At 41.1% G+C, this 21,590-nt stretch overlaps 1 non-coding gene across 1 annotated transcript; it reads left to right on the top strand.

Moving 5' to 3' along the window:
- MIR607 (microRNA 607) lies at positions 1,790-1,885 on the top strand. The gene has a single exon (NR_030338.1). It is a non-coding gene; the product is annotated as a microRNA 607 (primary transcript).

Below are 21,590 nucleotides of genomic sequence, written 5' to 3'. Positions count from 1 at the left end.
TCCTCGACATAATCTCTTAGTCCCAGACATATGGATTCAGAGAATCCTAGAGGCTTCAGAGATCAATTTTGTAACTTAAGATATGAAATTGGAAGCCCAGACAAGTAAGGTGATTTGACCAAGATTACATAGTTGCTGGGTAGAGAAAGGGCAACAAAAGCCAGGAGACAAGTTTCCCAATTTCCAATTTAATGCTAGTTTTACTACTCTACTCTGAGTTCCAATTTCTGCTTCACTTATTTTGAGTTGGGAACTAACTCATGGTTGACCTATCACAAAGACCTATTTGGAAGAAAGGATAGGGAGGCAATAGTAACAGCTAATATTCATTGAGCACCTATTATATGTTTATCATTGTTTCATTCCATCCAGATAATAATGCTATGAGTATATATTTACCACATTTTCCAAGTTAGGGACACAAGACTCAGATGAGTTAAATACATTTGTCAAGATCACATAGCTACCAAATTCTAACTAAGATCTCTGTGACTCTAAACCCCTCTAAATTGTCTTACAAGTAGAAAGTTGGCTTGGCGCGGTGGCTCACGCCTGTAATCTCTGCACTTTGGGAGGCTGAAGTGGGCAGATCACTTGAGGTCAGGAGTTCAAGACCAGCCTGGCCAACATGGTGAAACCCCGTCTCCACTAAAAATACAAAAATTAGCTAGGCATGGTGGTGGGCACCTGTAATCCCAGCTACTCAAGAGGCTGAGGCAGGAGAATCCGTTGAACCCAGGAAGTGGAGGTGGCAGTGAGCCGAGATCGTGCCACTGCACTCCAGCCTGGGCGACAGAGCTGAGACTCCATCTTGATAAATAAATAAATAATAAGTAAATAAATAAATAGTCTTACAAGTAGAAAATAGACTCTGCAACTGGAGGATTCACTTAACTCTACATGACATGTTCCGAGCACAGTTAAGCAGTTGGACATTCTGTGTTCCTATCACATGGCAGGCGGTGTCCCAGGCACCGAGGACATAGATAGATAAGACAGAATTTCTGACCTCTGTTGCTTTGGGCTACTGTTAAAGAGGGCCTTAGCTGTAAACTCTTACATTCTAGGGAGGGGCAGGTAATATAACATGGCAGTTAATAGGGTCTGAAGACAGCTGGGTTGGAATTCTGGCTCCATTTTTCAGTGGCTGTGTGACCTTGACATATTAACTTTTCTGGTCATTAATTTCCTCATGTGAAAAAGAGGATAATAATAGTCTGCAAGATGGGGTTTGTGTGAAAATGAAATGAAACTATTCACGTACAGTGCTAGCACATTCTTAGCATGAAATGAGCATCTGTTCTCTGATTAGGCCTTCCTAAGCTCCTATCTGTTTGCCCAGTCTGCAGGATGATGGGAAACCAAGATGCTTCTGCAGTTTGGAGTTAATCTGTGAGAGTATGAAGGAATGATAGCAATGACCTCAGCCTTTGAAAACAACCTCTGAGCCATGTTCTATAGTTCTCACAATGGCAGAAAAGGAATGTCAGGGAAGGGGAGTAGGACTTGGCTTGTCAGCATTAGATCAACTACTACCTGGTGTCTGATTAAAGATGGCTTGCAACATAGAAATGATCATTGACAAATGGGAGGATGAAATGATTGGGGCCTTCTAAAAAAAGCATGTCCTAATGGGAGGCTTTTTTAAAAAAACATAGTCAACTTCAAATAAATTCCAACAAGCAAGAGATGCTTTTTGAAGCACGTTTCAAAGATTATGTTATTTATTCTTCGCAACAACCCAATCGTGTATCCCATTTTATAACAGAGCACAGAGAGGTTAAGTAACTTGCCTAAAGTCACACAGGTTATAGATCTGGATTGGAACCCAGGGAGCCAGACTGCCTGGGTTCAAATCCAGATCTATAACTTGTGTGACTTTGGGCGAGTTACTTAAAGCCGGCTCTTTAACCATCACACTATTTTTTGCTTCCAGTGCTATTTCGGGGAAATGAGACCTAAGTCAGAGACAAGACCTAGCCAGACAGAAAGGAAGCCATGTCACTTGGTCACACGGCTTTTGGTCTTTTTGAGAAACTACTCATGTAGTGGCTTTTTTTGCTTAATAAAAGACTTTCAGGCCGGGCATGGTGGCTCACGCCTGTAATTTCAGCACTTTGGGAGACCAAGCCGGGAGGATCACTTGAGGTCAGGAGTTCGAGACCAGCCTGGACAGCATGGTGAAACACTGTCTCTACCAAAAATACAAAAAAAATTAGCTGGGTATGGGGTGCACCTGTAATCCCAGCTTCTTTGGAGGCTGAAGCAGGAAAATCACTTGAAGCCGGGAAGCAGAGGTTGCAGTGAGCTGATATCATGCCACTGCACTCCAGCCTGGGCAACAAAGCAAGACCCTGTTTCAATAAATAAATAACTTTCAGAGTTTCTCTCTTTTCAGCCTGTATACCTCTATGCCACTGGCCTAGAAAACATGTATGATTTTACTTTATGTTGTACGTGTGACATTTATTTTTCTTCTGTAGTTTTATTGAGATATATTTCACATACCATAAAATTCGCCCATTTGAAGTGTCCACTTCATCTGAAAGCAGGCAGTGGGAGGAGTGGCATCTCTTGGCTTTTTCCTGGGCTCTTGGCTCTGGGTCTTTGGCGCATGTTTTAGCATGGTAGAAATGTTTGACTGTCCCAGCCGGGTGCTGCCTTTCTGCATAAATGAGATCTTTTCTGCCTGGCAACATGGTTTTACCCTCACATCCAAAAGCTCCTAGTTCCTACACAGCTACTGGCTTGTCTGTTTTGAGGCAGTTCCCTTCTTGGAGGTTTCCTTGATATAGCTATGGGTTTGGGTGTCCACTATCCCCATGCCACTAAGCTTGTTCTAGAGTTCAAGACCCATCAACCCCTGCCCCCCAACCACCACCAACTGCGAAAGATTCCTCTTGGGCTCTTTCCCCATTATCTTTTCATCCTACCAGTCAGAAAGGAGGATCATTATTGGAGATCTACTGTTTACTAATATATTGGATGGAGGTGGTGCCCACCCTCTTGGCAGAGGAAAAGATTACAGCTACTAATGCGTCTGACCCCAGCCTGAACCAGTGTTTTAGTATCAAAGGCAAGTGAGACATAGTGTTGCTGTTCATGACCTTGTCCCCAACACAGCCACCTCTGTTTCACCTGCCTTACGTCCAGAAATGCTTTATCCCTACTGTGGAGCAGCTGACTCTGGGGATCCCATGCCAGAATCATGGGGAGATAGACCATGGCCAGGATATATTTCCAGCAGAGAAGCTCTGTCATCTGCAGGATTGCAAGGTGAACCTTCACAGAGCTGCCTGCGGTGAGTGTATTGTTGCACCCAAGACTTCCAGCTTCCCTTACTGTCAGGGGACCTGCCTGACCCTCAACAGTGAGCTTCATCAATCCAACTTTGCACTCAAAGTTTGCACTATAAGAGGGGAGTGCCTATTGATCTGTTCCTGGCTCTTTCAGACCTGTAGTCCCACCAAGGTCATTCTCTTCTCCCTAACGGTCCAGGATGACGAACGTAAGATGAGCGTTCACTGTGTGAACGCATCCTTGATAGAGAAGTGTGGCTGCTCTTGAGACACCCGGGAGCCTCCTCCTGGCTCCATACCCTCCTAAGTCTCGGGACTCAAGTGGGGGGTGGGATTGGTTCCCATAGCAACTAGAGCTCTTTGAAGGGAGGTAGGATTTGGCTTCTGTTTCTCAAAGCACAGCAAGAAGGATGGAGTTATGGCAGTAACCCCTCTTAGATGCTCCTTTTTGACATGGACAGAGGCTCCCCCAGTGCTGTTCTCAGTAACTCCTATTACTGGGAAGCTGAGCCCATTGAGATGTCTGACTATTGCTCTGTCCTAGATTGTGTGAGTGGGCCAGGCTTAGTGCCACCTCTGGAGTTACTTAGATGGAGAAAGAGGAACTGGAATTGGATGCATGTTAGCCCTCAGTGTAGAGGTAAAATTGTTACTGGTGTTAAACAAGGCTGGCTTTGGACTTTTCCAAGCTCGTTAGCTGCCACTGTCCTTCTCTGTACCATAGGACTGGGGCTGGTCCAGAGCTGGCCTAGGCATGTAAATTCCTCCCTACCTAGCATTCCTGGCCTCTTTGGAGTGAGTGAGGGCTCTGTCCAAGGCAGCATTCTGTCATGGGCTAGTTATGGGCAAAGGGCACCAACGCCTTCCCTACCTAGTGTCAGATGGGAGCCTCTGAGTGAAGAACATTGCTCGACAGATTGTTGATGGAGGGGGCTTCTGGCATCAGAAGTCTTTCTTTCTTTTCTTTTCTTTCTTTCTTCTTTCCTTCTTTCCTTCTTTTCTTTCTTTCTTTCTTTTTTTTTTTTTTTTTGAGACAGAGTCTCACTCTATCACACAGGCTGGAGTGCAGTGGCACAATCTCAGCTTTCTGCAACCTCCACCTCCCGGGTTCAAGCAGTTCTCTTGCCTCACCCTCCCAAGTAGCTGGGATTACAGGCACCCACCACCACGCCCAGCCCGGAAGGTTTTCTTACTATCATTTAAGGAACTTGATGATATTAGCTTTTCTACTATCTTTAGAACTTAGTACCATTACAAAATAATAAAAGAATAAAATGTACACTTCAGGGGGTTTTCGTATATTCACAAAGTTGTGCAACCATCACCACAATCACTTTTAGAACATTTCATCACCCCAGAAAGAAACCCTGAAATATCAGCAGTTATTCATCATTCCCCATCTCCTCACCCGCTGGCAACAACAAATCTAGTTTTTTCTTTTTTTTTTTTTTTTTTTTTTTGAGACAGAGTCTCGCTCTGTCGCCCAGGCTGGAGTGCAGCGATGCAATCTCGGCTCACTGCAAGCTCCGCCTCCCGGGTTCACGCCATTCTCCTGCCTCAGCCTCCCGAGTAGCTGGGGCTACAGGCGCCCGCCACCACGCCCGGCTAATTTTTTGTATTTTTAGTAGACGCGGGGTTTCACTGTGTTAGCCAGGATGGTCTCGATCTCCTGACCTCATGATCCACCCGCCTCTGCCTCCCAAAGTGCTGGGATTACAGGCGTGAGCCACCGTGCCTGGCCAAATCTAGTTTTTTCTCTATGAGTTTTCTTATTCTGGACATTTCACATAAATAAAATCATGCAATATGTGATTTTTTTTTTCTGACACAGTCTTGGTCTGGTGCCCAGGCTGGAGTGCAGTGGTGCAATCTTGGCTCACTGCAGCCTCTGCCTCCTGAGCTTAAGTAATCCTCCCACCTCAGCCTCTGGAGTAGCTGGGACTACAGGCATGTGCCACCAAGCCTGGCTAATTTTGGAGGGATTTTTTTTTTTTTTCTTTGCAAAGACAGGTTTCACCATGTTGCCCAGGCTGGTCTCGAACTCCTGGGCTCGAGTGTTCCGCCCACCTCAGCCTCCTCCCAAAGTGCTGGGATTATAGGCATTAGTCACTGTGCCCAGCCAATATGCGGTATTTTGTGACTGGCTGCTTTCACTTAGCATGTTTTTAAGGTTCATCTATATAGTTTTTTCATAGCAACCTGTTAAACAAAGGTTGATCTATGTTGTAGTATGTATCTGTATTTACTTTTTATTTTTATTATTTGAGATGGAGTTTCACTCTGTCGCCCAGGCTGGAGTGCAATGGCACTATTTTGGTTCACTGCAACCTCTGCCTCTCGGTTCAAGTGATTCTCCTGTCTCAGCCTCCCAAATAGCTGTGATTACAGTTGTGCACCACCACACCCAGCTAATTTTTGTATTTTTAGTAGAGACAGGGTTTCATCATGTTGGCCAGACTAGTCTCGCACTCCTGACCTCAAGTGATCCATCAGTCTTGGCCTCCCAAAGTGCTGGGATTACAGCCATGAACCACTGAGCCTGGCCTATATCTATTTTTTAATTTTTTCTTGTTAAATATTTCATCATTTAGATACAAAATTTTGTTTATGTATTTCAGTTGATGTATATTTTCATTGTTTTCACTTTTTGGCTATTATGAATATGCAGCTGTGAACATTTGTGTACAAGTTTTTGTGTAGACGTATGTTTTATGTTTATTATGAATATGAATGTGTTCCATATTAATTTTGAAATAATTTCAAGTGACCAAAAAGTTACAAGAATTCTCATGTCCCCCTCACTCAGATTCCCCAAGTTTTAATATTTTAACATATTTTATTTCACTCTCTCTGCATGTACCTACTATATGGTTTTATTGTTGTTATTCTGAGTCTTTTTTTTTTTTCTGCCCAGGCTGGAGTGCAGTGGTGCAATCTCGGCTCACCGCAACCTCCGCCTCCCAGGTTCAAGCGAATCTCGTGCCTCAGCCTCCCGAGTAGGTGGGACTACAGGCATGCACCACCAAGCCTGGATAATTTTTTTTTTTTTTGTATTTTTAGTAGAGACAGGGTTTCACCATGGTGGCCAGGCTGGTCTCAAACTCCTGACCTCAAGTGATGTGCCCGCCTAGGCCTCCCAAAGTGCTGGGATTACTGCCATAAGCCACCATGCCCAGCCTCCTGAGTCTTTATATGAATAATCAGATGAAAAGCTACACACTGGCTACACCGTCATCCCTAAATATCAGGTGTGTATGTCCACTGTCCACTGTTTTCTTTTTCTTTTTTTGAGACGGAGTTTTGCTCTTGTTGCCCAGGCTGGAGTGCAATGGCACAATCTTGGCTCACCACAACCTCCGCTGCCCAGGTTCAAGCAATTCTCCCGCCTCAGCCTCCTGAGTAGCTGGGATTACAGGCATGCGCCATCACGCCTGGCTAATTTTTTTTTTGTATTTTTAGTAGAGACGGGGTTTCTCCATGTTGGTCAGGCTGGTCTCGAACTCCTGACCTCAGGTGATCCACCCACCTCGGCCTCCCAAAGTGCTGGGATTACAGGCATGAGCCACCACGCCCAGCCACTGTCCACTGTTTTCTCATGACTAGACTCAGTCATACATTTTGGTAGGAAACCTACGGAAACCTACAAAGAAAGAGAAGACAATCAGGCAAAGCAAAGCACTCCAAATCTAGATCATCAATTGCATAGCGAATACAGGGATACTCTTTTACATGAATCCTGCTGTCCTTTGCAGGAATGAGAAGTAGCCTTGAAGGGGTCAAGTTGATCTGGAGATGGACACAACTAACCTTTACTTCACTCCTCAGGTAAAATTTACTATATGCACAATTTATTTGAAAATTACTGCTGGGTGTGGTGGCTCATGCCTGTAATCCCAACACTTTGGAAAGCTGAAGAGGGAGGATCTCTTGAGTCCAGGAGTTCAAGACCAGCCTGGGGAACAAAGTGAGATCCCGTCTGTACAAAAATAAAAAACAATTAGCAGGGCGTAGTGGCGTGCACCTGTTGTCCTAGCTACTCAGGAAGCTGAAGGGGAGGGATTGCTTGAGCCTGAGAGATGAAGGCTGCAGTGAGCTATGATCCTGCCACTACACTCCAGCCTGGGTGACCCCTGTCTCAAAAATAAAATAAGGCTGGGCACAGTGGCTCACACCTGTAATCCCAGCAATTTGGGAGGCAGAGGCGGGTGGATCACTTGAGGCCAGGAGTTTGAGACCAGCCTAGCCAACAAGATGAAACCCTGTCTCTACTAAAAGTACAAAATTAGCCTGGTGTCGTGGCAGGTGCCTGTACTGCCAGCTACTCGGGAGGTTGAGGGGGGAGAATCACTTGAACCCAGGAGGTAGAGATTGCAGTGAGTCGAGACAGCGACACTGCACTCCAGCCTGGGCAACAGAGTGAGACCCTGTCTAAATAAATAAATTAATTAATTAATTAATTAATTAATAGAATCACCTACTGACATGTGAGACATCACCTGTGGTGGTCCTGAGCTTTTGGGCGAATTGTGTCCTCCTCATCAAATTTTAATACTTTGTTCTCCCAACATAGAATGTAAGCTATTTAAAGACAAATGTGTTCAGTCTGGCATGATTTTTCTCAGCAGCTAAAGCCATAACTAGAAAAGGGTCTCTCTGTGGATAACAAAAGTTTGAGGACTCTGGCCTATTCTGTATCTAGATGTTATGTCTTCTCTTTCTCTTCCATCTGCTCATTCTTCCATTTTACTCCTATCTTAGACCACAGATGAACAACTTTAGCTTTTCTTTCATTCCTTGGGTTTGAATCCTAACCTCTCTAAACCTCAGTTTGCTCATCAGTAAAAAGGGGCTAATAATACTACCTACCTCAAAGAGTTGTTGTGAGGATTAACTGATATAATCCATGTAAATCATGGATTTTATGGATCCCCCACAAAGATACTAAAACCCTCCCTAAAGCCCACTCCACAGATGCTGTCTCTGCAGATCATATCACCTTTTGACGTGATTGGGTCTTATGGTAAAATCTTGAATTTTTTTTTTTTTTTTTTTTGAGATGGAGTCTTGTTCTGTCGCCCGGGCTGGAGTGCACTGGCGTGATCTTGGCTCACTGCAACCTCCGCCTCCTGGGTTCAAGCAATTCTCTTGCCTCAGCCTCCCAAGTAGCTGGGATTACAGGCATGCACCACCATGCCCAGCTAATTTTTTTGTATTTTAGTAGAGACAGGGTTTCACTGTGTTGGTCAGTCTGAACTCCTGACCTCAGGTGATCCACCCTCCTTCGCCTCCCAAAGTGCTGGGATTACAGGCATGAGCCACCGCGTCCAGCCAAATCTTGATATTTTATCTAATTATAAAATATGCATACCTTTTTCCCCAGGATTTTTACTTCTAGGAATTTAATCTATAAAAATATTTTCAACACATATATAAAGATATATGTACAAGGAAGTTTTCATTGTTGAAAAAATAAAACAAGTCACAATGTCTGCTCATTCAATGGAATGCCCTGTAGCTAGTTAAGAAAAAATGAAACAGGGCCTGGTGCAGTGGCTCACACCTGTAATTCCAATACTTTGGGAGGCTGAGGTGGGAAGATAACTTGGGGTCAGGAGTTCCAGACCAGCCTGGGCAACATAGCAAGACTTCATCTCTATTTTATTTTTTGAAAGAGAATAAAATATACTGTATACATAAATATACAGTAAGATCTACAATACACTTTCTTTTTACCTTTAAGCTCTGTTGGACTTGATACAATACATTTTTAAGTGACAAAAGAAAGCTACAAAATTGCACATATACTTTAACATGGTTGGGTTAAAGATATTAATATATAGCTGGGCATAGAACCTCACACCTGTAATCCCAACACTTTGGAAGGCCGAGGTGAGAGGATTGCTTGAGCCCAGGAGTTTGAGACCAGCAGGGGTAACACAGCGGAACCCTGTCTCTACAAATAAATAAATAATTTAGAAAATAAAAATATTAAATATATATGTATACAAGCTATGTCTGAATGTTTGTGTATCCTCAAAATTTGTGTTGCAACCTAATCCCCATTGTGGTGGTATTAAGAGATAGGGCCTTGTATTAGTCAGGGTTCTCCAGAGAGACAGAACTAATAGGATATATGTATATATGAAAGGGAGTTTATTAGGAAGAATTGGCTCACACAGTCACAAGGCGGAGTCCCAGGACAGGCCATCCGCAAGCTGGGAAAGAAAGAAGCCAGCCGTGGCTCAGTCTGAGTCCAAAGCTTCAAAACCAAGAAAGCTGACAGTGCAGCCTTCAGTCTGTGGCAAACGGCTTGACAACCCCTGGCAAAACACTGGTGTAAGTCCCAGAGTCCAAAGGCCAAAGAACCTGGAATCTGAAGTCCAAGGGCAGGAGAAGCAGAAGGAAACATCCAGCACGGGAGGAAAAAGAAGGAAGCAGAAGACCCAGCAAGCAAAGGCATCCCAACTTCTTCTGCCTGCTTTGTTTTTGCCACGCTGGCAGCCAACTGGATGGTGCCCACCGACATTAAGAGTGGATCTTGTCTCCCAGTCCACTGACTCAAATATCAATCTACTCTGGCAACACCCTCACAGACACATCCAGAAATAAGACTTTACCAGCCATCTAGGCATCCCTCAATCCAATCAAGTTGATACCTAATATTAACAATCACAGACAGGTGTTTAGGAGATAATTAGGTGATGAGGACTCTGCTCTCATAAATGAGAGTAGTGTTCTTCTATAAGAGGCTTGATGGCCGGGTGTGGTGGTTCAGGCCTGTAATCCTAGCACTTGGGAGGCTGAGTTGGGCAGATCACTTGAGGCCAGGTTCAAGGCCAGCCTGGCCAACACGGTGAAACCCCATCTCTACTAAAAATACAAAAATTATCCAGGTGTGGAGGTGCACACCTGTAGTCCCAGCTACTCGGGAGGCTGAGGCAGGAGAATCACTTGAACCTGGGAGTCAGAGGTTGTAGTGAGCAGAGATTGTGCCACTGCACTCCAGCATGGGCGACAGAATGAGACTGTGTCTCAAAAAAAAGAAAAAAAAAAGAGGCTTGAAGGAGGCTTTCTTTTTTTTTTTTTTTTTTTTTTTTTTTTTTTTTTTTTGAGACGGAGTCTCGCTCTGTCGCCCAGGCCGGACTGCGGACTGCAGTGGCGCAATCTCGGCTCACTGCAAGCTCCGCTTCCCGGGTTCACGCCATTCTCCTGCCTCAGCCTCCCGAGTAGCTGGGACTACAGGCGCCCGCCACCGCGCCCGGCTAATTTTTTGTATTTTTAGTAGAGACGGGGTTTCACCTTGTACCTCATGATCCACCCGCCTCGGCCTCCCAAAGTGCTGGGATTACAGGCGTGAGCCACCGCGCCCGGCTGAAGGAGGCTTTCAACCCTTCCACCATGTGAAGATGCAGGGAGAAAGCACTATTTTTTTAAATTTTATTTTTTTTTTGAGACAGAGTGTCACTCTGTCACCCAGGCTGGAGTGCAGTGGCGCGATCTTGGCTCACTGCAACCTCCCCCTCCTGGGTTCAAGCAATTCTCCTGCCTCAGCCTCCCGAGTTTTTATTCTGGCTGTACTGGCAGCTGATTAAATGGTGCCCACCCAGATTAAGGATAGGTCTGCCTTTCCCAGTCCAGTGACTGAAATGTTAATCTCCTTTGGCAACACCCTCACGGACACACCAGGAATAATACATTTTTTTTACTTTTTTTTTTTTTTTCGAGACAGAGTCTTGCTCTGTCACCCAGGCTAGAGTGCAATGGCACCATCTCGGCTCACTGCAACCTCCGCCTCCTGGATTCAAGCGATTCTCCTGCCTCAGCCTCCCGAGTAGCTGGGACTACAGGTGAGTGCCACCACACCCAGCTAATTTTTGTATTTTGTTAGTAGAGACAGGATTTCACTATGTTGGCCAGGCTGGTCTCAAACTCCTGACCTCGTGATCCGCCCACCTTGGCCTCCCAAAGTGCTGGAATTACAAGCATGAGCTAACGCGCCCCGCCTTTTTTTTTTTTTTTTTTTGAGAAGGAGTCTCTCTGTTGCCCAGGCTTGAGTGCAGTGGTGCGATCTTGGCTCACAGCCACTTCCACCACTCGCGTTCAAGTCATTCTCCTGCCTCTGCCTCCTGAGTAGCTGAGATTACAGGCATGCATCACCTCGCCTAGCTAATTTTGTATTTTTAGTAGAGAAGGGGTTTCGCCAGGCTGGCCAGGCTGATCTCGTACTCCTGAGCTCAGTTGATCTGCTGGCCTTGGCCTCCCAAAGCGCTGGGAATACAGGTGTGAGCCACTGCGCCCAGCCTCCTGGATAGACATTTCAAGAATAAAGCTGCACTCAGAATGATGTAAGTAGGATTTTAAATTTATGAGATCTTTTCCCAAATGACAATAGAATTAATTGATTAGTTAACATATAAATAGGCAAGGCTGGGTGTGGTGGTCCACCCCTGTAATCCCACCATTTTGGAAGGCCAAGGTGGAAGGATCATTTGAGCCTAGGAGTTTGAGACACCAGCCTGGGTAACACGGGGAGACCCTGTATCTACAAAAAGTAAAATAGTTGGCCAGGCGTGGTGGCTCACGCCTATAATCCCAGCATTTTGGGAGGCCAAGGCAGACGGATCACCTGAGGTCAGGAATTCCAGACCAGCCTGGCCAACATGGTGAAAACCTGTCTTTAGTAAAAACACAAAAATTAGCCGGGTGTGGTGCAGGCACCTGTAATCCCAGCTACTCCAGAGGCTGAGTCAGGAGAATCGCTTGAACCCGGGAGGCGGAGTTTGCAGTGAGCCAAGATTGCCCCATTGCGCTCCAGCCTGTGCAACAAGAGTAAAACTCTGTCTCAAAATACATAAATAAATAAATAAATAAATAAAATAAAATAGCCAGCTGTGGTGGTGCAAGCCTGTGGTCCCAGCTACTCAAGAGGCTGAGGTGGGTATATCGCTTGGACTCGGGTGGTCCAGGCTGCCATGAACCACGATCACACCACTCCACTCCAGCCTGGGCAAGAGAGACCCTGTCTCAAAAAGGAAAAAAAAAAAAGTCGGTTTGAGAGGATGTAGGAATTAAATATCTTCAGCATCATTTTTGATTTTTAAAGGAGTGACTCTTTTTCATAAACCCTCAAAATCATATTTTAATGCTGATCTATTTTTGCCTGAATGCGTGATGTTTTCTTCTAGTTTTCAGGAAACAAATAGAAAAAATAATTACTATTGTCTATGTTAGGTGACTGTAAGAAATAATTTTTAATAGAATAACCAGAAAGGAGGCCGGGCGCGGTGGCTCACGCTTGTAATCCCAGCACTTTGGGAGGCCGAGGCGGGCGAATCACGAGGTCAGGAGATCGAGACCACGGTGAAACCCTGTCTCTACTAAAAATAAGAAAAAAAAAATTAGCTGGGCTTGGTGGCGGGCGTCTGTAGTCCCAGCTACTCGGAGAGGCTGAGGCAGAATGGCGTGAACCCAGGAGGCAGAGCTCGCAGTGAGCCGAGATCGCGCCACTGCACTCCAGCCTGGGTGACAGAGCGAGACTCCGTCTCAAAAAAAAAAAAAAAAAAAAGAATAACCAGAAAGGAGTTATTTATAGCTAGGTGGCAATGGAAAGCTGTTTCTATGTGTTACAAGAAAGAGAGGGTTCTTGGATCTCCAGCAAGAAGAATTCAGTGTGAGTCTGCAGAGTAAAGTGAAAGCAAGTTTATTAAGAAAGTAAAGGAAGAGAAGAATGGCTACTCCATTGACAGAGCAGCCTTGAGGGCTGCTGGTTGCCCATTTTTTATTTATTTATTTATTTTTGAGACGGAGTCTTCCTCTGTCACCCAGGCTGGAGTGCAGTGGTGCTGTCTCGGCTCACTACAACCTCCGCCTTCCGCATTCAAGCGATTCTCCTGCCTCAGCCTCCCGAGCAGCTGGGACTACTGGCACACACCACCATGTCCGGCTAATTTTTGTGTTTTTAGTAGAGACAGGGTTTCACCACGTTGGCCAGGCTGGTCTCAAACTCCTGACCTCGTGATCTGCCTGCCTTGGCCTCCCAAAGTGCTGGGATTACAGGCGTGAGCTACCACGCCCAGCAAGGTCGCCCATTTTTATGGTTATATATTGATGATATGCTAAACAAGGGGCAGATTATTGATGCCTCCCCTTTTTAGACCATATAGGATAACTTCCTGACATTGCCATGGCATTTGTAAACTGTCATGTCGCTGGTGGGAATACAGCAGTGAGGACGACCGGAAGTCACTCTCATCATCATCTTGGTTTTGGTTGGTTTTGGCCAGCTTTACTAAAACCTGTTTTGTTAGCAAGGTCTTTATGACCTGTATCTTGTGCTGACCTCCTATCTCATCCTGTAAGTTAGAATGCTAACTGTCTGGGAATGCAGCCCAGTAGATCTCAGCCTCATTTTATCCAGCTCCTATTCAAGATGGAGTTGCTCTGTATATATACACTATATAATATAAATATACGGTATATATTACATATATATATACCGTATATAAATATACGGTATATATATATTATATATACCATATAAATATATATTTATATATATAAATATATTTATAAATATAAATATATATATACTATATACGTATATACTATATATACTATATATACTAATATACTATATATACTATATATACTATACACTTATATACTATATATACTATATACTATATATACTATATACACTATATACTATATATACTATATACTTATATACTATATATACTATATATAATATATACTATATATACTATATACTTATATACTATATACTTATATACTATATATACTATATATACTATATACTTATATACTATATATACTATATACTTATATACTATATATACTATATACTTATATACTATATATACTATATATACTATATACTTATATACTATATATACTATATACTTATATACTATATATACTATATACTTATATACTATATAATATATACTTATATACTATATATACTGTATATACTTATATAGTATATATTTATATACTATATAAATACACAGTATACTATATAAATATATTAGTGTACAAATATATATTACATATAAATATATTAGTATACAAATATATTTATATATTATATAGTATACTATATATTATATATAAATATATAGTATACAAAATATTATATATAAACCTATATAGTATATAAATATATATTATATATAAATCTATATAGTATATAAATATATATTACATAAATCTATATAGTATATAAATATATATTATATATAAATCTATATAGTATATAAATATATATTATATAAATCTATATAGTATATAAATATATATTATATAAATCTATATCGTATATAAATATATCTTATATAAATCTATATCATATATAAATATATCTTATATATCTATATAGTATATAAATATATCTTATATATCTATATAGTATATAAATATATCTTATATATCTATATAGTATATAAATATATCTTATATATCTATATAGTATATAAATATATCTTATATATCTATATAGTATATAAATATATCTTATATATCTATATAGTATATAAATATATATTATATATCTATATAGTATATAAATATATATTATCTATATAGTATATAAATATATATTATATATAGTATATAAATATATATTATATATCTATATAGTATATAAATATATATATAAATTTATATAAATTGATATAAAAATTAATTTGTATATAAATTATATATAACTTATATATATAATTTATATTATATATTATATAGAACAATATATTTATGTATTATATATAATTATATGTATATATATATATAAAATGCAGGCTGGGCATGGTGGCTTATGCCTGGGTGGACAGATTACCTGAGGTCAGGAGTTCGAGACCAGCCTGGCCAACATGAAGAAACCCCATCTCTACTAAAAATACAAAAAAATTTAGCCAGGCATGGTGGTGGGCGCCTGTAATCCCAGCTACTTGGGAGGCAGAGGTGGGAGAATCGTTTGAGCCCAGGAGGCAGAGGTTGCAGTGAGCCAAGATTGCGCCATTGCACTCCAGCCTGGGCGAAAAGAGCAAAACTCTGTCTCAAAAAAAAAAAACAGTATATAAGTGTATATATATACGTGTTGCAGGTAATTCAGCAGTTATTACTGCAAAAAGACAGTACAGACACTTAAGTTCCAGTTTAGGAAAAAAATCAGAGTAACTTACATGAATTTTTTGAACAATGATGGGAACTACTCTTTATTGAGCAAGGACTCTATGCAAAGTCCTGAGCTAACGACAGGGAAAATAAAGCATACAGATATAAAATACCTTATTCAAAGTCACTCCACAGGTAGGTGGAAGAATTTAAACTCAAGAGATTCCAATAATTTGGTTTTAACTTATTTCACTGTAGTGCCTCACAAATCAAGGTCAATGCTAACTTGGCTCTGTAAGTAATTAAAAGATAGATGTCAAACTTCCTTTTTACTTAGTCTATACAAATTACGGGCATTTAACAAATCCTTGGGCATGGCATGGTGGTTCATGCCTGTAATCCCAACACTTTGGGGGGCCAAGGTGGGAGGATCACTGGGCCAGGAGTTCAAGACCAGCCTGGGCAATGTAGCAGGATCTCATCTCTACAAATAATTTTTAAAAATTAGCTGGGCATGGTTGTGCATGCCTGTGGTCACAGCTATTCTAGAGGCTGAGGTGGGAGAATCACTTGAGCCCAGGATGTGGAGGTTGCAGTGAGCCCTGATCATGCCACTGCATTCCAGCCTGGATGACAAAGCAAGACTGTCTCAAAACAGAACAAAACAGAAAACCAAATGCTTGTCGGCTAAGTCTTTGAAGTTCTACATCATTAAATTGGAATTTTTGTTTCTTCAGAGTATAAAAGTTCATGGGATGAGTAACACAGCTACTCTTGAAAGATGATAAAACATTAGAATATCTTTAATAATTTGGTTAATCCACATGCTTTTCAAAAATTTTTTTTGAAATATTTTGGACTTTTTTTGGAATAGTTATTTTATTTGTGATTTCTCATTTAAATGCCTTTTCAAAAGTTCAAACACTATCACTTGTCACTAAAACTGTTATGTTGAATGTCTTATATGATTACATATGCTTTATGACTATTCTTTTGCCTGTAACACAGATACATAATTTTCTTTTCAAGCATTGTCTTCTTGATCCAATAACAGTTCTTCCAACATCAATTGAAATGTAGAGTGAAAAAATTTGAAAGTACACACTGCAGAAAACTTGAAACTATTGATAAACTGATACAGTGTAAAACAAAGAACAGCTCCTATTCACAGAATGGGGTTACATTTCATATTCAGAAATAATAAAGTAAGTACAGTAAACTGATAAATGACATCTCTTTTTCACATATTCAGTTTTTAAAAAAGAAAATAAACCTACAAGTTGCTTTACAGTTGATGGCACCTTAGCATTAAAAATTCCCCCTTGCAATTTTTCTTAAAAATTACTCTGTACATCTTTCTGAAAACCTTTATTCTCTTAGTCAGCTTCTTCTCGACAGATGCTCTCCTGGATTCAGTGTTAATGATGTAAATAAAATCTAGGTATTCCAAACAGATAATGATGTTGCTACACAAATGCTCTTTCATGTTGTCTGATGCTATTAATTCTGGCAAACTCTATTGGTCAGTTCTCTGATCTATCACCCTTTCAGAAAGTTGAGGACCATAATATAGTCATTGTTATACCTTTGAAATATGTTGAACATCTTCTTTGGTAATCAATTTGCTTTACAACCTTTTACAAATCACTGAATTTCTTTGGCACTCATTTTCTTCTTCTATAAAAGAAGGTTGGACTAATTCTCAAGTTCTATTTTCTAATTCTATAAAAGGAGAGGTTGGACAGGGTATTCCCAAGTTTCCTTAGAGCCTGAGTTATCTAAGTTATTAGGATTCATCAATGTCACATGCCCGAAAGCCTTAAACAATTTTATATTTGTAGATTTTTTTTTAAAGACGGAGCCTCACTCTGTCACCCAGGCTGGAGTGCAGTGGCGCTATCTCCGCTCACTGCAACCTCTACCTCCCAGGTTCAAGTGATTCTCCTGCCTCAGCCTCCTGAGTAGCTGGGACTACAGGCGCATGCCACCACGCCTGGCTAATTTTTGTATTTTTAGTAGAAATGGGGTTTTGCCATGTTGACCAGGCTGGTCTCGACCTCCTGACCTCAAGCAATCCACCACCTTGGCTTCCCAAAGTACTGGGATTACAAGTGTGAGCCAGCGTGCCCAGCCAATATTGTAGATCTTAATAAAATACCACAATGTATAAAATACTAGCCATGGTATCTTAAGTGAAATAGGTAGACTCAACTCTCTATGAACCTACACATTTCAATGTGATGAAACTGATATTTGTTTTCCATTTGGTGGTATAATACATTCAAAATGTAAAGCATTAGGAGTTTTCTGAGAAGAAGATAATGTACATAGGAAATATATGGCTGCCTACTGGCTAAAGCCATCTAAACCAATAGCTCCAAAAGGAGCATTAATAGGAAACCCCAAAACAATAAACAGCAACAAGACCTAGCAAAATAAGTTTCTTTTTTTTTTTTTTTTTTTTTTTTAGATGGGGGTATCTCACTCTGTCACCCAGGCTGGAGTGCAGTGGCATGATTATAGCTCACTGCAGCCTTGACCTCCCTGGGTTCAGATGGTCCTTCCACCTCCTGAGTAGCTGGGACTACAGGCACATGCCACCATGCCCAACTAATTTTTTATTTTTTTGTAGAGACAAGATTTTGCCATGTTGCCCAGGCTGGTCTGGAACTCCTGGGCTCAAGCCATCTACCTACCTCAGCCTTCCGAAGTGCTAGGATTACAGGCGTGAACCAGCACACCCAGGCAAGTTTTGGAACAAAGGAATTATGAAAGAAATCTCATGGGTCCAGTTAGCAAATGTTGTATCACCAAAGCAGAGAAAAGCATTCAAAGCAGGATCTTCCCATGGTATTCACAATGGCAGAAATTCGAACCCATGTAAAGATTCATATATAAAGCAGTAGACAAAAGAACAAAATTTTAACATTTGATTATTAGTAATAGTGGAAAAAATATAACCAAATTAATATTCACCAAAGGAAATTGGTTATGTAGATGAAACACCCTTTGACTGATTACCTTATAGCCAGTAGAAAGTATGTTCAAGGGCTGGGCGCGGTGGCTCACGCCTGTAATCCCAGCACTTTGGGAGGCTGAGGTGGGCAGATCACTTGAGGTCAGGAATTCAAAACCAGCCTGGCCAACATGGCAAAACCCCGTCTCTACTAAAAACACACAAAAAATTAGCTGGGCGTGGTGGCGGGCACCTGTAATCCCAACTACTCCGGTGGCTGAGGCACGAGAATGCCTTGAACCTGGGAGGTGGAGGATGCAGTGAGCTGAGATCTCGCCACTGCACTCCAGCCTGGGCAACAGAGTGAAACTGTGTCTCAAATTAAAAAAAAAAAAAAATATATATATATATATATATTCAAGAAGAATATTAATAGTCAACATAGCAAAGTATGTTGTTTACCACGTTTCTGGTTCCCTCCACTTCTAGATATGGTAGCATTTCACTTCTTGGCCCCACTGTTTGGGTGGAACCACATGCATGTTGTAGTCAATGAATTAATTGTGAGCAGAAGTGATCGACACACATTTGCACTCCAGCCTAGGCTGCAAAGCAAGACTCTGTCTCAAAAAACAAAAAACAAGAAGTGATACATATGACTCCCAGGCTGGGTCATTTGAGTGTTGACACAGCACCCTCCTGGGCACTCTTTTCTCTGTGGATGGCAGCCAGAAACATTCAAGGTGACACTACTCTGTCAGTTTGGGTCCCTGAGTAAGTCTGATGACCTGAGCCATTCTGCTAACCTTCAATTAATACATAAGGTGAGCAAGTGTTGTTGTGAATATAGATCGTCTGTTACCTCAGCATAAATGAATTTTTGCAAATGGAACCAACATTCTAGGTCAAGTCACTATACACTCCTTCCCACAAGGGAAACTACTATCCTGACTTCTAACCGAATATATTAGTTTTACTTGTTCTTATTCTTTAAAAACTGTTGTCATACAATATGTACTCTTCTTTTTTTGAGTTGAGGTCTTGCTTGGTTGCACATGCTGGAGTGCAGTGGTGCAATCATAGCCCACTGCAACCTTGAACTCCTGGGCTCAAGCAATCCTCCTACCTCAGCCTCCCAAGTATCTGATATGTGCCACCACGCCCAGCTAATTTTTAAATTTTTTTGTAGTAATGAGGTCTCGCTATTGTTGCCTAGGCTGCTCTTAAACTCCTGGACTTAAGCAATCCTCCTGCCTCGGCCTCCCAAAGAGCTGGGATTATAGGAATAAGTCGCTGTGCCTAGCCCAGTATGTACTCTTTTCTGGCTTCCTTTGTTCAATATTGGGCTTGTGAAATTGCTCCATGGGTTTGTGGTCTGTTCATTCTCATTGATGAGTGCTATTCATTGTATAAATGAACTACATTTTAGTATTTGACTGTTAATGGGCTTTTAGGCAATAGTTTCCAGTACTTGACATACAAATAATGCTCCAACAAATATTCTGGTATATACCTTTTAGTGAACATATGTGTGCATTTCTGTTGCGTATATACGTAGAAGTGGAATTGCTGGCTCATAGAGTATACATATGTTCAGCTTTGGTAGATAGTGTGAAACAGTTTTCCAAAAATAGGTGTACCAATTTATACACTCACTATCAGTGTAGGAGTGTTCTGGAAGTTCCAACATTTGGCTTTTTTTTTGTTTTTTCACTTTAGCCATTCTGGAGGTAACTGGTGAAGTTAAACACCTTTTCACATATTTATTGGCCATTTGGGGTTTTTTTTTGGAAAGCCACCTGTTCATCTTTTGTCCATTTTCCTATTGGGTTGTCTTTCTATTTCATTAGACAGTAGTTCACTCCTTATCTGTGGGGAATACATTCCAAGACCCCAAGTGAATGTCTGAAACCACTGATGGTACCAAGTCCCATACAGGTGAAGTATCCCTTATCTGAAACGTTTGGGACCAGAAGTGTTTCAGATTTTTGATTTTTTCAAATTTTGGAATAATTGCAGAATACATACTGGTTGAGTATCCTTAATCTGAAAGTTCAAAATCTGAAACCCAAAATGCTCCAATGAGCATTGCCTTTGAGTGTCATGTCAGCACTCAAAAAGTTTCAGATTTTGGATTTTGGATTTTTAAATTAGGGATGCTCAACTTGTATATACTATTTCCTACACACACATATATATATATACGTACATACCTAAGAAGGTTTAATTTATAAATTTGGCACAGCGGGAGATTAACAACAGTAAAGGATAAGTAAATAGAACAATTATAACAATATACTGTAATAAAAGTTATGTGAATGTGGTCTCTCTCTCAATATATCTTCTTGTATTATACTAAAGATAACTGGAACTGAGGAGAGTAAAGCATGATAAGGGGGACTTTCCTGTATTTTGAGAGACAGATCATGTTCACTTAACTTTTATTATAGTATATTGTTATAATTGTTCTATTTTATTAGTAGACATTTTTATTAATCTCTTACTTTGCCTAATCTATAAATTAAACTGTATCAAAGTTATGTATCAGAAAAAGCACAGTGCAGTATACATAAGATTCAGTACTATCTGTTGTTTCAGGCATCCCCTGGAAGTCTTGGAATGTATCCTCTGTGAACGAGGGGGCACTACAGTATATTCCTTATTTATAAAGTTGTTGTTTACATATAGTTTATATATTTTGGATATGAATCTTCTGTAGAATATGCATATTATATTTTGAATATATTCTCTCATCTGTGCATTGGCTTTTCATTCTTGTGATATATTCTCTTTTGGAGTATAAATTCTTAATTTTAAGATGCTCCAATTCTTTTTCTTTTATAATTAGTGCTTTTGTCTTGTTTTTAAATGTTTTGCCTGCTCCAAGATGAAGGAGATATTCTCTTTTTCTTTTTTTGAGACGGAGTCTTTCTCTGTTGCCCAGGCTGGAGTGCAATGGCACGATCTCTGCTCCCTGCAACCTCCGCCTCCTGGATTCAAGCAATTCTCCTGCCTCAGCCTCCCAAGTACGTGGGATTATAGGCATGTGCCACCACACCTGGCTAATTTTGTATTTTTAGTAGAGATGGTGTTTTGCCATGTTGGCCAGGCTGGTCTCGAACTCCTTGCCTCAGGTGATCCGCCCGCCTCGGCCTCCCAAAGTGCTGGGATTACAGGCGTGAGCCACTGCACCCAGCCTA

Source organism: Homo sapiens, chromosome 10, assembly GCF_000001405.40.
Source record: "Homo sapiens chromosome 10, GRCh38.p14 Primary Assembly".
In the NCBI taxonomy this organism is placed as follows: Eukaryota; Metazoa; Chordata; class Mammalia; order Primates; family Hominidae; genus Homo; species Homo sapiens.
Note: the sequence above shows the minus strand (reverse complement) of the source record. Positions and strands in the feature narration are given on the sequence as shown.